Source organism: Homo sapiens, chromosome 15, assembly GCF_000001405.40.
Source record: "Homo sapiens chromosome 15, GRCh38.p14 Primary Assembly".
NCBI classification, from domain to species: domain Eukaryota; kingdom Metazoa; phylum Chordata; class Mammalia; order Primates; family Hominidae; genus Homo; species Homo sapiens.
The window spans coordinates 82666181-82682574 of record NC_000015.10 but is presented as its reverse complement, the minus strand read 5'-3'; the positions used below and the strand labels follow the sequence as shown (position 1 = coordinate 82682574).

Genomic DNA, 16394 nt, shown 5'->3' with positions numbered 1-16394 from the left:
CCAGGAAACAAAAAATTTATGTGACTCGTTTTAGTGCGATATTTGCTTTATTGTTGAGGTCTAGAATCAAACCCACAATATCTCCGAGGTATGCCTGTAATATATAGCTGCTGCTGCTGATAGTGGGAAGACAGTCCTAAGCCCCATGATCACAATACAGTGTAAGGAATGCTTTTATACGTTCTGTATAGGATGCAGTAGGAATAAAGAAGAAGGGCTTGGGGCCGGGCGTGGTGGCTCACGTCTGTAATCCCAGTACTTTGGGAGGCCGAGGTGGGCGGATCACTTGCGGCCAGGAGTTCGAGACCAGCCTGGCCAACACGGCGAAACCTAATCTCTACTAAAAATACAAAAAATTAGCTGGGTGTGGTGGTGCGCGCCTGTAGTCCCAGCTACTTGGGAGGCTGAGGCAGGAGAATCGCTTGAACCCAGGAGGTGGAGGTTGCAGTGAGCCGAGATTGCACCACCGCACTCCAGCCTGGCGACAGAGCGAGACTCCATCTCAAAAAAAAAAAAAAAAAAAAAAAGGAAGGGCCTACACCCCTATTTTGTTTTAAACACTGTGGAAGAACAGCAGCTTTTGCAATGATTTCTGGGAGAAAGGAGTGTAAGGTTGAACTCCGGAAGGGAGACCAGCTTGCATCTGCTGGGCGGTCACCTCAGGCATTAAAACAGGCACCTCCAAAAAAACCCTTACAAGGAACAGGAAGTGTTTCAGGTGTTTCAGCAATTTTAGGTGTTCTGAAAGTTTTTCAGTGTTTCTGGAAGTGAAGCTACCCATTGCAACACCTGTTCAGGTGTCAGATTTCTGCAACCAGAGCCAAAATTAAGTGTCCCCCAGATACCCATCACTGGCACACCATCCAGGCTCCAGTCAAGCGGCAGGGAAGCAAGAGCTAGTGGTCGCTGGGGACAGTGACTTCCAAAGGTGTGGCCTCCCCCCATCAGGGCACCTGGTGCCCTTTCATAGCTCTGCCTCCACCTCTGCCTTTAGGATCCCAACCAGCTGATTCGTGCCAGTGCCCTCCGTGTCCTCTCTAGCATCCGTGTGCCCATCATAGTGCCCATCATGATGCTAGCTATCAAGGAAGCCGCCTCGGACATGTCACCCTATGTGCGGAAAACAGCTGCCCACGCCATCCCTAAACTCTACAGGTATGCCCCAGCCCTGTCCCACGCTCCCCAGGAGGCTGGTTCCTAAGTTCTCAACCCACCCCTGGCCTTTCCTAAGTCTTGCCTGCTGCTTCTCAGAGGGTTTGAGGAGGGTAGTTTGGGGGACTGACAGAGATGGAGGAGAACAATAAGGCTGGGGTGCAGGAGGTGAGCATGGCTTGGACAGATATTGGGAAGGCTGGGGCTGAGAGTGGCAAATTCCCCTCACCGATTTCTCCCTCAGTTTGGACTCTGACCAGAAGGATCAGCTGATAGAAGTCATTGAGAAGCTTCTGGCTGACAAGACCACGGTGCGTGTATAGGGGCGCTCCGGGAGGGGTGGTGACCGGCAGCCGGCCTTCCACCCTTCGCGTTCACCCTCTCGTCTTTGTTCTTTCCCCAGCTGGTGGCGGGCAGTGTGGTGATGGCCTTTGAGGAGGTCTGCCCGGAGCGCATCGACCTGATTCACAAAAACTACCGGAAACTCTGTAACCTGCTGATCGACGTGGAGGAGTGGGGCCAGGTGGTCATCATCAGCATGCTCACCCGCTACGCCCGCACGCAGTTCCTGAGCCCCACCCAGAACGTAAGTGGGCCCAGCCCAGGCAGAGCGGGCCGAAGTGTGTCCCGGGGAGGCGCCCACAGACCCGTCGGTCTCCCCGTCCAGGAATCCCTACTAGAGGAGAACGCGGAAAAAGCCTTCTACGGCTCAGAGGAGGACGAGGCCAAGGGCGCGGGGTCTGAGGAGACGGCCGCCGCGGCCGCCCCCTCCCGAAAGCCCTATGTCATGGACCCCGACCACCGGCTGCTGCTGCGCAACACCAAACCCCTGCTGCAGAGCCGCAGCGCCGCGGTGGTGATGGCGGTGGCGCAGCTCTACTTCCACCTGGCGCCCAAGGCGGAAGTGGGCGTCATCGCCAAGGCGCTGGTGCGCCTGCTGCGCAGCCACAGGTGCGCTCCGCCCCCAGCCCCGCCCCCTCCCTCGCCTCCTGCCCCGCCCCACGGGCTGCCCGGCTCCGCCCCCTCACGCCCACCAGCCGCTTCCACCTCTGCCCACCCGCTCCACACTGACCGTAGTCCTGCCCTCCGCACTGGTCCTCTCCCCGCAACGACTTGCCCCACCTTTTCCCCTCATCCGCTGACCCTTGCCCCAACCGAGGGGCCCGGGGTGCTCTGACCCGTCCTCTCCGCAGTGAGGTGCAGTACGTTGTGCTCCAGAACGTGGCCACCATGTCCATCAAGCGCCGGGTGAGCCTGCGACGGCGGGCTGTCCTCGCTGTCCGAGGGCCGCTTCTGCGGGCACTGGAGGCGTTGTCGGGGCTGGGACCGGGGCCGGGGAAAGGGAAGATGGAGGAATACCCTGGCTGTGCAGAGGATGGGGCAGGGGAGGCTCCAAATACAGATAGGGAGCAGGGCCTGGATCCTGAGGGGCCGCTGAGGGGATGTCCAGTGGAAAAAGAGCTAGTCAGATCTGAGATGGACGAGGGAAGACTTGAGGAGTGGAGGGCAGTGGTGAGGAGGCAAGGATCCTGGGCGCTGGGTCAGGATAGGAGGGGTGTCTCTGGGCAGCGAGGCAGGCCTGGGGCTTCGGTGGAGCTCCCTAGCTGCCTCTCTTGTGCCAGGGTATGTTTGAGCCCTACCTGAAGAGCTTCTACATCAGGTCCACCGACCCCACCCAGATTAAGATCCTGAAGGTGAGTGAGGGACAGAAGTGCATGTGCTTCCCAGCCCTCCCCACCCCATGTACCCACTCAAATAACTCACAGTGGCCCCCCTGGTGCCTGCCTATTCCTGGGGCTGAGCCCAGGAGCCCATGACTGCCCCAGCTGGAGCTGTTTGTTCAGGGAGCTGGGCTAAGGAGGGTCAGGGGGAGAAGGGAACTGCTCTTTGCCTAGTACCTGGTATACACCTGCTACTCTTCATAAATGAAGTAACCTGATATCACCTCATAATAATCCCAGGATGTGTACATTATATTCCTTTTATAAAAATATAGACTCTGGCCAGGCACAGTGGCTCACGCCTAATCCCAGCACTTTGGGAGGCCGAGACAGGCAGATCGCCTGAGGTCAGGAGTTCAAGACCAGCCTGGCCAACATAGCAAAACCTCGTCTCAACGAAAAATACAAAAATTAGCCAGGCGTGGTGGCAGGTGCCTGTAATCCCAGCTACTCGAGAGGCTGAGGCTAGAGAATTGCCTGAACCTGGGAGACAGAGGTTGCAGTGAGCTGAGATTGTGCCATTGCACTCCAGCCTGGGTGACAAGAGCGAAACTCCATCTCAATCTAAGAAAAAGAAAAAAAGACTCTGGGAGGTAACTGCCCCAGGTCACATAATTCTGCTGACTCCAAGGTTCACACTTTTCTCTCCCACCCACAGTGTTATGGCCCCCACACACCTGCCCCCTCAGGCTCTCCTGCAAACATTCACGGACAAGGAAAGTGGCGGGAGCCCATACCTCCATTTGATTCCTGCTCTGCTGCCTCATTATTGAGTGATTTCCTTCAGCAACAGTTAATCTTCCTAACCCTTGTGAACATCCACTATGTTCTAGGGGTACATGATGAGCAAACTAATCAGGGACCCTGCCTTTGTGGAGCTTACAGATGTGGGGAGGAGGAGACATTAAGCAGTTAATCACAAGGCAAATGTAAAAGTCCACTTACAAAATATGGAAGAAAGTGTGGAGAGCTATAAGGGCATAAAATAGGGAGACCTCATCTAGTCTGGTGCCAGGGAAGTTTTCCCGGAGGATATGAGACTTGAGCTGAAGCCTGAGAGATGAACATGAATTATGCAGGGACAGAAATGGGAAGAACTGCTCCACGCAGAGGAAACAGCATCTGCGAAGACCCTGGGTTAGGAAGTGGAGTGGGATTGGGGCCTGGAAGACAAGGGGGACAGTGATGGGAGATGGGAGGTAGACAGCAAGCAGATCATTCAGGGACTTACAGACCATGGTGAATACGATGGTCTCCATCCTGAAAGCAATAGGAAGCTTTAAGTTTTCAATGCAGTAGGGAGGTGACATGGTCATACTGTAAGCATACTGTGTAGGGAATCCACTTAAGAGGCAAACTGGTCCTCTTGCTTTTTAGACAAGTTTCATAACCTGTCAATTCCCTCATCAGTGTGAGGATGATGCAGGGCTGTCATGAGGATTGTTTTCTGGTCTATGAAGTGTATTTGGAATGAAAGCACAGAAAGTCCACTGGCCAACCCACCCATTTTCTGCCTCTCCAACCCTCCCTGCAGCTGGAAGTGCTGACCAACCTGGCCAATGAGACCAACATTCCTACTGTCCTACGGGAATTCCAGGTACAGGCCAGCTCCCAGCCAGAAGGGCCTGGGAGAGGGGCCCATCAGATCCTTGTGCCCTGGTGGGTAAACCTCCTCTTATGAGCCCAAGGCTGGAGAAACTATTATCTTACATTCCCGTTCCAATGTGTTTGGCTGGCTTTGGGCCAAGGAATCACTGGATTGGGGGTGGAGTTGTCACCCCCTTTCCCAAGTCTTAGTCACCGGCATGATAAGCCATAAAATGAAAGGCCACAGCCTTCTTGAAGGTCACCCTCAAGCCTGCAGAGTCACTGAGGGATTTCTTTGTCATATCCCACAGACCTATATTCGCAGCATGGACAAGGACTTTGTGGCAGCCACAATCCAGGCCATTGGACGCTGTGCAACTAACATCGGCCGAGTCCGTGACACCTGCCTCAATGGCCTGGTGCAGCTGCTGTCCAACCGTGATGGTCAGTGTTTCCCTGAGTGTCTAACCGTGATGATCAGAGGGTGTCTGCCTGCAGGTCTGACTCTGCTGGCCACTGGATATCCACCAGTCTGCCTAGACACAATGTGTATCCATTGGTCTGTCTGTCTTGATCAGGGCCCAAGTGTTCCTACACCTCTGAGGGCTGCTAGAGAACTGAAGGGGGTTGAGAGAAAGAGCCAAGGGCCTGGGGCACTGCAGGTGTGTCTGTCCACCTGAGTGTGGCCATCTGACTGTCTTGGGGTCCACACACTCATTTTTGTTCTGTAGAGCTTGTGGTTGCAGAGTCAGTGGTCGTCATTAAGAAATTGCTACAGATGCAGCCAGCACAACATGGAGAGATCATCAAACACTTGGCAAAGCTTACAGACAACATCCAGGTGAGGGAGAAGCCATATTTTCACTCCCCACTTCAAGGTCCTCCCCATGATTTCAAGACTGTATAATTACATATGCTAGCCTTATCAAAAGTAACTTCCAAACCTTAGGTCTTCAGGTGGAAGGAGCAGAGACACTGGACCATGTGACCCTGACCTTGTTACCCCTGATTTGCTTTCCCTTTGGAGACCCTCAATGAGCACGATGGACTTTACTACTACTCTTGTTTTCTCTCTAAAGCTCTAGCCAACCATGGTTGAGTGACAAATCTTGTGTTTTTCTATCGCACTGCTAAGCTGAAACATCTAAACAAGGCATTCCCAAAGATTCTGGAGAGTAACATGGAAATAAAGTACTGAGGGTACAATGAATCCAGAAAATCAATCTTTTACATCATGACTGACTTAGGGTCTTGAAAGCTCTATGCTAATGAAGCCCTAGGGAAGAGGGGAAATGCTGTCTAGGAAATGTCTACCTTTTAACCTCTCTCTATCTCACCACCCCCAACTCCCATTTCCAGAGAACCCATAATACAACAGGCCAGCACAGATGAGGAGTGCTGTTTCCCTGGAAGTCCACAATCCTACCCACCCACTTTCCCGTATTTACCCATCTTCACTCCTCTCCCACAACCACAGGTGCCCATGGCCCGAGCCAGCATCCTGTGGCTCATCGGAGAGTACTGTGAGCATGTCCCCAGGATTGCACCTGATGTCTTAAGAAAAATGGCCAAGTCATTCACAGCAGAGGAGGATATTGTCAAGCTGCAGGTCATCAACCTGGCAGCCAAGCTCTACCTGACCAACTCTAAACAGGTAAAGATTAAGAGATGACCCCCCAGATACTCTGGTCCCCAGAAACTCCCTAGACAGTATTCTTTTGGCCCTCCCTAGGCAGGGCTGAACTCTAGCTCCTATTTTGGAAAAGAAGAATCAGGGAAGGTGGCTGGTCTGCCCACATAACCAATGCTACCCCAGTGCCCACAAAGACCTTGTAGTGCTGGTGGTCACTGTTGAAGAGACTCTCCTATGAAGCTGTGACCTCCAGTCTGCTAGTACAAGAGTCCTGTCTGCCACCTTGGAACTCTGGGGCTGTGAAGAACCACAGTTGATTGGGATAAGGGAAGGGCCCAACAGTGGCAGGTACTGATGGGAGAACATGCATCCCAGATGTGGTCTGTGCTTCTTTCCAAAGCTTGACAATGCTTGGCCAGTCTGTGCCAAAGATAAGGGGGTGAGTCTCTGCTTGGGCTTGGGTGGTGCTGGTGGCCACTGTCATTCCCAAGGTGAAAGGTTATAAGAGATACACAGCCAAGGATGAGGCTCAACTAAGTTGTAGTATCAGGGTGTTCAGAGCCTCCTAGCTGTCTGGCATCTCCTGAGATGGTTCCAGGAGATTCTCCTAAAATGAAGCATAATGTGCTGAGCTTTTCAAGGTGTCAGGGACATCAAACACCATGACGATTTCCACACTCTCCCACTCAGTTAAGCAGGACAGGGATTGGCAAACTACTGCCCATAGGCTGAATTTGGCCTATTCCTGTTTTTGTAATAAAGTTTTGTTGGAACACAGCCCTGCTCATTCATTTACAAATTACCTATGGCTGCTTTTGTGCTACAACAGCAGGGTTAACTAGTTGCAACAGACTGTATTGCCCACAAAGCCTAGAATAGTTATTCTCTGGCCCTTTTATAAAAAGACTCTGCCAATCCTTGAAGCAAAACCTCTGGCTAGGTGGCTGGGGTCTACAGATTTATAGCAGGGATATCCCCTGGAGACTGTAGCATCCCTGCCATGTCCACTGTGCGTGGGAGTCTTTGGATGGTGGCACTTATCTTTTTCAGTGGCTTCTTTGATCCATTGTGGCCAGAGTGAGCCCCAGAGGCTCAAGGTGAGGTAGGCAGGGCCACCAAGTGCTGTGACTGTAATCAGGAGTCAAAGGACAGCAGCAACATGTGGAGGCAACTGAGTCTGTATAATTAAATATGCTAGCCTTATCAAAAGTAACTTCCAAACCTTAGGTCTTCAGGTGGAAGGAGGAGAGACACTGGACCATGTGACCCTGAGCTTGTTATCAGTGTTGTGGGCAAAGCAGATTGGAGAGAGAGAAGTTAGAGGGGGAGAGAGAGAAGTTAGAGGGAGAAAGAGCACCATGGGGAAGCGTTCAATCGTTGAAAAAATATTTGTATACTTCCTTTGTTCAGGTGGGAGGAAGGAGCAAGTGGGAGGAATGTTTGAAAAGATGAAGCAGCCTGGGTGGGGAGCCACCCAGGTAGGTGGGAGTCTTGACATGCTCAGCAATGAGCCAGAGTCCTAAACCCCAGGATGGTGAGGTTGGCATGTTTTCATAAGCCTGGGCCTGTCCACATGTCATTTCCCCCAAGTTGTCACTGTGAGCTACATGTGCATTTGTTCATTTATTTAACATATATGTAGGTGGGAGTCTGACATGCTCAGCACTGAGCCAGAGTCCTAAACCCCAGGATGGTGAGGTTGGCATGTTTTCATAAGCCTGGGCCTGTCCACATGTCATTTCCCCCAAGTTGTTACTGTGAGCTACATGTGCATTTGTTCATTTATTTAACATGTAGGCCTACTATTTGCCTGGTACTGTGCTGCGTCCTGAGGATATGACAATGAGTGAGACACATTTACAGGTCTCCAGATACTCACAGCCAAGTAGGAGAAACAGGACAAAAATAAACATTTTAAACACAGCAGTAACAGCTGTCATCAGGGTTGGCACAGCGAGCTGTGGGTATATACAGCTGAACCCTCCCCTAGGAATGACCCCTGTCAGGGAACCCAGAGTAGGCTGTTCAGGCAAATGGACACTCACCTCCAGGGCGCCCTTCACCTGCAAGTGAGTTTTTGCAGGCCCCTTAGAATGGTTATTTGATTCAATAAAGATTTTTGTCCTCCCTTTCTTTCTCCTTTCTTCCCAGCCTCTTCTGGGAGTGGTAAAGAAGGGGGAGTCCTTGGGGTACTAGGAGGGAGGTGGTTTGGATGCGCACATGACCATGCTTGCAAAACAGTAGTGATGCTTCCCATCCTGGGACCATGAGTGGCAATCTGCCCAGCTAAAAGGCCACAGTAATCTCAGTCATTCTCTCCAATTTGGACATGGGCCCACGGCATGCCAGATCCTGGCCCAGGATGAGGCCAAGGAAATGACCAAGATGAGGCCTCTGCCCTGCTATTGATCAGCAGATAATCAGATACTAGACCAGAGGCCACAAAGGCATAACATGCAGGTGGCGGGGGATGGGGGGGTTGGTAATCAAAGTGGCTATTACATCCACCTGGATATAGACCCTGGGGAAACTGCCTAGCAGGTTAGTTTGCTTTTATGTGTCAGGTGAGATGTGTGGCAGGAGGGTCTGCCAGGGGCACAGTGGGATCTACAACCCTCCCATGTGACCGCCTTTACAGTGAATAGAAGATTCTGACAAATTTTGCAGAATTGCTTTTAAAAACGTAAACTTTTTTTAATATGCTAAAGGTAATACATGCTTATCATAGAACATTTGGAAAACTCAGAAAATTATAAGTTTAAACTATTAATAAGTCCACCATTTAGAAGACCACCATTAATTATATATTTCCTTATTTTTTATTCCTATATATAGTCATTCAGAAGTTGTACTTTTGTCTATTGTCCAATATTTTAAACTTTTCTGCTTCTTTTCAATGCTTTCATATTTAATACTTTTTTTTCCCCATTCACATTTCAATTAAACTTTTCACTTAGAATTTTCTCCAGGCTGGGTTCAGTGGCTCACACCTGTAATCCCAGCACTTTGGGAGCCCAAGGTGGGTGGGTCATTTGAGGTCATGAATTCAAGACCAGCCTGACCAACATGGCAAAACCCTGTCTCTACTAAAAGTACAAAAAAATTAGCTGGGTGTGGTGGTGCGCTGAAATCTCAGCTACTTGGGAGGCTGTGGCAGGAGAATTGCTTGAACCCAGGAGGTGGAGGTTACAGTGAGCTGAGATGGTACCACCACACTCCAGCCTGGGCCACAGAGCAAGATCCATCTCAAAAATAAATAAAAATTAAAAAGAATTTCCTCCAAATTTTTTTCTACTTTCACATTTTTAAATCAATTGTATTAGTTTTCTGCTACATAATAAATTACTATAAATTTGGTGGCTTCAAACAACACACGTTTATTTTCTCAGTGTCTATGGGTCGAGAATTCAGGTATGGCTTAGTTGGATCTTATGCAAGGCTACAACTGAGGTGTCAGCCAAGGCTGAGTTTTTATCTGGAGGCTGTACTGGGGAAAGGTCCACTTCCAAGTCACATGGTGCCACGATCCACTTCCTTGCAGTTGTAGGATTGTGGCCCTGGCTTCTTGCTGGCTGTCAGCTGGGGGCTGCCCTTGCCTTCTAGAGGCCGTCCTTAGCTCATTGCCATAGGGGCCTCCCAACACGGATGCTTAATTTCTCCAAAGCCACAAGGGAGAAAGTCTCTAGAGCCAGTCTGCTAGCAAGACCGTCTTCTTTTTATTTTTTAATTTTTATGGGTACATAGTAGGTGTATATATTTATGGGGTATGTGAGATATTTTGATACAGGCATATAATGCATAACAATCACATCAGGGAATGGGGTATCCATCCTCTCAAGCATTTATCTTTTGTGTTACAAACAATCAAATTACACTCTCTTAGTTATTTATAAATGTATAATAAATTATTGTTGACTGTAGTCACCCTGTTGTGCTGTCAAATACTAGATCTTACACATTCTATCTAACTATAATTTTGTACCCATTAACTATCCCCACTTCCCCCACCCACTACCCTTCTCAGCCTCTGGTAACCATTATTCTACTCTCCAACTCCATGAGCTCAATTCTTTTAATTTTTAGCCCTCACAAATAAGTGAGAACATGTGAAGTTTGTTTTTCTGTGCTTGGCTTATTTCACTTAAAATAATGACCTCTAGTTCTATCCATGTTGTTGCAAATGACAGGATCTCATTCTTTTTTATTCTTTTTTTATAGTACTGCATTGTGCATATGTACCGTATTTTCTTTATCTATTTGTCTGTTGATAGACACTTAAGTTGCTTTCAAATCTTGGCTATGGTGAACAGTGCTGCAATAAACGTAGGTGTGCAGATATAACTTCAATATGTTGATTTCCTTACTTTTGGGTATATACATAGCATTGGGATTGCTGGATCATATGGTAGCACTATTTTTAGTTTTTGTTTGTTTGTTTGAGATGGAGTCTTGCACTGTCACCCAGGCTGGAGTGCAATGGCATGATCTCAGCTCACTGCAACCTCCGCCTCCCAGGTTCAAACGATTCTCCTGCCTCAGCCTCCTGAGTAGCTGGGATTACAGGCGCCCGCCACCAAGTCTGGCTAATTTTCATATTTTTAGTAGAGATGGGGTTTCACCATGTTGGCCAGGCTGGTCTTGAACTCCTGGCCGCAAGTGATCTGCCCGACTCGGCCTCCCAAAGTGCTGGGATTACAGGCGTGAGCCACTGCACCTGGCCTATTTGTAGTGTTTTTTTTTGAGATGGTGTTTCACTCTTTTTTCCCAGGCTGGAGTGCAATGGCGTGATCTTGCCTCACTGCAACCTCTGCCTCCTGGGTGCAAGTGATTCTTCTTCTGCCTCAGCCTCCCAAGTAGCTGAGATTACAGGTGCCTGCCACCACGCCTAGCTAATTTTTTGTATTTTTAGTAGAGACAGGGTTTCACCATGTTGGCCAGGATGGTCTTGATCTCTTGACCTCGCGATCCACCCACCTCGGCCTCCCAAAGTGCTGGGATTACAGGTGTGAGCCACCGTGCCCGGCCTATGTTTAGTTTTTTAAGGAACCTCCAAACTGTTCTCCAGACATTTCCACTAACAGTGTACAAGGGTTGCCTTTTCTCCATGTTCTTGTCAGCATTTGTTATTGCCTATCTTTTGGATATAAGCCTACTTGGGGTGAGATGATATATCTTTTTTTGTTTTGTTTTGTTTTTTGAGACGGAGTCTTGCTCTGTCACCCAGGCTGGAGTGTGCAGTGGTGCGATCTTGGCTCACTGCAACCTCTGCCTCTGTGGTTCAAGTGATTCTCCTGCCTCAGCCTCCTGAGTAGCTGGGACTACAGGCGTGCGTCACCACGCCCCGTTAATTTCTGTACTTTTAGTAAAGATGGGGTTTCGCTGTGTTGGTCAGGCTGGTCTCAACTCCTGATCTCAGGTGATCCGCCTGCCTCAGCCTCCCAAAGTACTGGGATTACAGGCATGAGCCACCCGTGCCTGGCCTTTCATTGTAGTTTTGATTTGCATTTCTCTGATGCTCAATGATGTTGATCACCTTTTCATATACGTGTTTGCTATCTGTATGTCTTCTTTTGAGAAATGTCTATTCAGCTCTTTTGCCCATTTTTAAATTGGATTATTGAATTTTTTTTTCCTATTGAGTTATTTGATCTCCTTACGTATTCTGGTTATTAATCCCTTGTCAGATGGGTAGTTTGCAAATTTTTTCCTCCTATTCTGTGGCTTGTCTCTTTGTTGATTCCTTTGCTGTGCAGAACCTTTGTAACTTGATGTGATCCCATTTGTCTACTTTTGCTTTGGTTGCCCGTGCTTGTGGGGTATCACTCAAGAAATCTTTGCCCAGTACAATGTCCTGGAGAATTTCTCTAATGTTTTCTTTTATTAGTTTCATAGTTTGAAGTGTTAGATTTAAGTTTTTAATCCACTATGATTTGATTTTTGCATATGGTGAGAGATAGGGGTCTGGTTTTATTGTTCTGCATGTGGATATCCCGTTTTCCCAGCGCCATTTATTGAAGAGACTCTCCTTTCCCTAATGTATGTTCTTGATACCTTTGTCAAAAATGAATTCACGGCCAGGCGTGGTGGCTCATGCCTGTAATCCCAGCATCTTGGGAGGCCGAGGCTGGTGGATCACCTGAAGTCAGGAGTTCAAGAGCAGCCTGGCCAGCATGGCGAAACCCTGTCTCTACTAAAAATACAAAAATTAGCTGAGCGTGGTGGCGGGTGCCTGTAATCCCAGCTACTTGGGAGGCTGAGGCAGGAGAATTGCTTGAACCCGGGAGGCGGAGGTTGCAGTGAGCCAAGATCGCGCCACTGCACTCCAGCCTAGGGGACAAGAGCGAGACTTCATCTTCGTCCCCCCCCGCCAAAAAAAAAAAAGCCACTGATTTTTTTTTTTTTTTTTTTTTTTGGAGACGGAGTTTTGCTCTTGTTGCCCAGGCTGGAGTGCAATGGGTTTTTTTTTTTTTTTTTTTTTGAGATGGAGTTCTCACTCTGTTGCCCAGGCTCTGGACTGCAGTGACGCGATCTCCACTCACCACAACCTCTGCCTCCCGGGTTCAAGCAATTCTCCTGCCTCAGCCTCCCGAGTAGCTGGGATTACAGGCATGCACCACCATGCCCAGCTAATTTTGTATTTTTAGTAGAGACAGGGTTTCTCCATGTTGGTCAGACTGGTCTCGAACTCCTGACCTCAGGTATTCTGCCTGCCTCGGCCTCCCAAAGTGCTTGCTAGGATTACAGGTGTGAGCCACTGTGCCTGGACAATGCTACTGATTTTTTTTTTTTTTGAAACGGAGTCTTGCTCTGTCACCAGGCTGGAGTGCAGTGGCGCCATCTTGGCTCACTGCAACCTTCACCTCCCGGGTTCAAGCGGTTCTCCTGCCTCAGCCTCCTGAGTAGCTCGGACTACAGGTGTGCATCACCACATCCAGCTAATTTTTGTATTTTTAGTAGAGACAGGATTTCATCATGTTGGCCACGATGGTCTCAATCTCTTGATCTCACGATCTGCCTGCCTCGGCCTCCCAAAGTGCTGGGATTACAGGCATCAGCCACCGCACCTGGCCAATGCTACTGATTTTTATGTGGATTTTGTATCCTGCGACTTTACTGAATTTATTAGTTCTAATAGTTTTTTGGTGGAATCCTTAAGATTTTTTAAATATAAGATCATATCATCTGCAAACAAGGATAATTTGAATTCTTTTCCAATTTGGATACCCTTTATTTCTTTCTCCTGTCTGATTGCTCTAGATAGAACTTCCAATACAGAGTCTTCTTAATAAAACATAATCATAGGATCATATATAGTCATATACCACCTTTGCCATATCCTGTTGGTTAGAAGCAAGTCTCAGGTTTTGCCCATACCCAAGGTGAGGGATTGCACAAAGGCATGAACACCAGGAGGCAGCTACTGGTGGGGAAGACCTTAGAATCTGTCTGCCACATCCATCTAGAGCTTAAACTTACTCATGTGTAATGTGTGAATTGAGGATATATTTCAATTTTTTTTAACAGCCAGTTTTCTAAGCATGATTAGCAGGCATCTGCAAGGTAGCATGTATGTTGGCATAGGTTATGGAAAGGAAGTCAGTGTTTCCTGCTTAAAATTCCTCTCTGACAACTGGAGCCTGTTGGTGAGGGGGAGCCTTGTTCTGTTCTTGGCACACTGGAGTGTATCTCAGAGGCCTTCTTGAACAGCCTGTAATTCCTGCACATCCTGGCTAGATGAGGTGGGGGTCTTGGTGGTGCACACAGGATGCCACAATCCACAGGGAATGGCCCCTTGGGGTGGAGAAGGGTAATGAATTATTATAGGCAAATCCTGCAGTGTTGAGGTGGTGGGCCAGCCCCTTCCTGTGTTGGTTGTTAACATGCAGTTAAGGCTGTGGACAGATGGATCCAAATACCAAACAGTTCTTTCTAGAACTAGGCAAGGACTTGAAGGAGGGAGTCTGTGATCAGCCAGCTGGGAAATCTGTGGAGGAAGACATTGTCCAAACCAAAAGAGGGATCAGCAGCCTCTTGATAATTGACTATGTTGGTAAGGGCATCCACTAGCCCTGGCCATTTAGATGGTGTCTGGCCAAGAGAGGGGCAGGTTGGTGATGAAATCTGTTGTGATGGCATCTTATTTTCATATTTTTAAGTCTATTCTATTAGCGGTGCATGGGATTGGGATTGCTTATCTGTGACTATAACAGTATCGCAGGTGCTGCTTTGCTGGAAGGGACTGAGCTGAAGAGGGCCTGTGGGCCAGATTGGAGGTAGGAATGTGGAATCATAGTGGCTCTCTAGAGTGGTGTGGGGCAATTCTGCCAAAGCAGCTGCTCAGACTCTGGGTCAGCATCTGAGGGGCTTTGCCCCTTATGGACATCTGCTTGATGTCCCTGCCAGATTAGCTGGGTTAACCATGTCCAAGGCTACACGTAACAGTATGTCACCATAAACCTCAGGAAGAACAGAGTCAGTTCCAGGCTCCCTCCTGCCGGCCCCTGATGCCCTTGGGCATTCTGCTTGTTGACCACTTGGTGGTTTTGATCTTGGTCACAAGTGATGGAAACATGGAGACCTGGGCCAGGGCAGGCTCCTTATGTCAGCAGGTAGGCAGTGAAGGGAAGCAGATGGGGTGCAGCTCCAGCAGATGCAGGCCTAGGTGCAGTACTGATGGGCTCCTTGGCCTGGGAAAAGCCCCTTAATGATCCTGCTTCTTTTCTGTAAAATGGGGGCAATAATGCCTACTTCTCAGAAGGCTTGGGGAGATTAGATGAGCTAGTGTGGAGCACCTAGCACAGAGTTGGTGCCAGAAGGCACTTGATAAGTGATGGCTGCTACCGCTGTTGCCATGTTAAGGCAGGTTAGATTAGGCCAAGATCATGGCAGAAATGGAGATATTTTAGGTCTGCAGTTGTAGCTTCCCTGACTGCAGACTGTGAACCCTACATGACCTTGGCAAATGCATGGGCAGCTGCAGTTTGCCCTGATGTCATTAGAAGCTTCCAGGGAAGGATAAAGACCTCTGAGACCCCTGGGCTGCTCAGAATCTACTAAATGGGTGGATAGGGCATGAGGGTGGCCCCTGCCAAAGGGACCCCTGTTTATCTGCCCTGTCTTTTTGTTGTCTAATTCCCCCTGGGTGGTGGAGCCTGGAAACTGTGAGGTCCAGCAGAGCATTCCATACTTCCACATACCCTGCTGCCCTAGAGTAAAGAGGCTGGACAGGCCTGGAGTGGTAGGGACCACAAATCTAGGGAAGAATGGAGTCCAGAGCCAGGAGTGGGGAAAGTCCAAAAGGAAAACCTCTTTTGTTGGCCCAAGGCAGTTGTCAAAGTTGGGATCATCAGGAGGCATGTCCAGAGAGATGAGAGAAAATTCTGAGCCCAGAACAAGGGCAGGTGGGGAGGGACAGCTGGGTGGAAGCGCCGGTCCTAAGCAGGGAGAGGAGACGTTCTGCCTGAAAGTGTCGGCTTAAAGAATCTGTTTCTGAGCCTCCTGTGTCCCCATCCCCCCGTCAGCTGACCCACCTCTTCCTGTTCCTCCAGACCAAGCTGCTGACCCAGTATGTGCTGAGTCTGGCCAAATATGACCAGAACTATGATATTCGCGACCGGGCGCGCTTCACCCGGCAGCTCATCGTCCCTTCCGAGCAGGGTGGGGCCCTCAGCCGCCATGCCAAGAAGCTCTTCCTGGCACCCAAACCAGCTCCAGTCTTGGAGTCATCCTTCAAAGGTGGGAGCTGAAATCAAGGGTAACCTTCCTAGGGGAATGGAAAGGAACTGGCCAGAGTCTCTGCCCCAGACCTTCCTGAGGCCCCTAGCCAGGCACCAGGCTTCTGTGGACAGTCCTGCTCCCTGGCTCACTCCTTTTGTCCCTCCTGTGGCACCAGGAATTACTCTTTCACCCTCCCATAACCACTGCCAGCATCATCTCACCTGAGGGTCTGCCTTCCTGGCCAGGATGGACTTGTGCCTCCTCTCCTCTCAGGCTCCCTTTTCCATCTCCCTCCCTGAGCAGACACTAGGCTTTGGAATACATACCAAGATCTTAAATACCAAGGACCCAGGAAGGCAGAAAGCAAAACAACACACAAAGGAGAGGTGTATATTTTTATAAAGGTCCTGAGAAAGCAGTTGCCTGCATTCTGTGAGCTTAGTCACTACAGTCAGTCCAAATCCCAGGCCCCAGGGCTTCAGCCTTGCCTCTGTTCCTGGGCTTGGCCCTTAAGGCCTCTTTTCCCAAGACAACGGCCTTGAGATGGGCCTGGGAGGGAAGGGTCCTCCCGCTGCTTCTCCGGG

General features: G+C 49.5%; 1 protein-coding gene and 1 long non-coding RNA gene across 4 annotated transcripts in view, besides 1 other annotated feature; one reads left to right on the top strand and one right to left on the bottom strand.

Moving 5' to 3' along the window:
• The window catches only part of CPEB1-AS1 (CPEB1 antisense RNA 1), a 45051-nt gene that overhangs the window by 10246 nt on the left and 18411 nt on the right, over nt 1-16394 (bottom strand). The window lies entirely within an intron of this gene.
• AP3B2 (adaptor related protein complex 3 subunit beta 2) overlaps nt 1-16394 on the top strand; it is a 50595-nt gene that overhangs the window by 27301 nt on the left and 6900 nt on the right. For all 3 annotated transcript variants that reach the window (NM_001278511.2, NM_004644.5, NM_001278512.2), the window contains 11 exons: nt 995-1155; nt 1397-1463; nt 1556-1738; nt 1820-2103; nt 2346-2400; nt 2775-2846; nt 4408-4470; nt 4772-4904; nt 5192-5301; nt 5938-6114; nt 15642-15828. In NM_001278511.2, the coding sequence (NP_001265440.1) occupies nt 995-1155; nt 1397-1463; nt 1556-1738; nt 1820-2103; nt 2346-2400; nt 2775-2846; nt 4408-4470; nt 4772-4904; nt 5192-5301; nt 5938-6114; nt 15642-15828 (1492 nt within the window). The remainder of the gene's footprint in view (nt 1-994; nt 1156-1396; nt 1464-1555; nt 1739-1819; nt 2104-2345; nt 2401-2774; nt 2847-4407; nt 4471-4771; nt 4905-5191; nt 5302-5937; nt 6115-15641; nt 15829-16394) is intronic.
• Nucleotides 2114-2263: a silencer, noted in NCBI's record as "silent region_6751". NCBI's record gives its function as "represses an Ori minimal core promoter by ATAC-STARR-seq in GM12878 lymphoblastoid cells {active_cell/tissue: GM12878}" and the evidence as "EXISTENCE:reporter gene assay evidence [ECO:0000049][PMID:35858748]".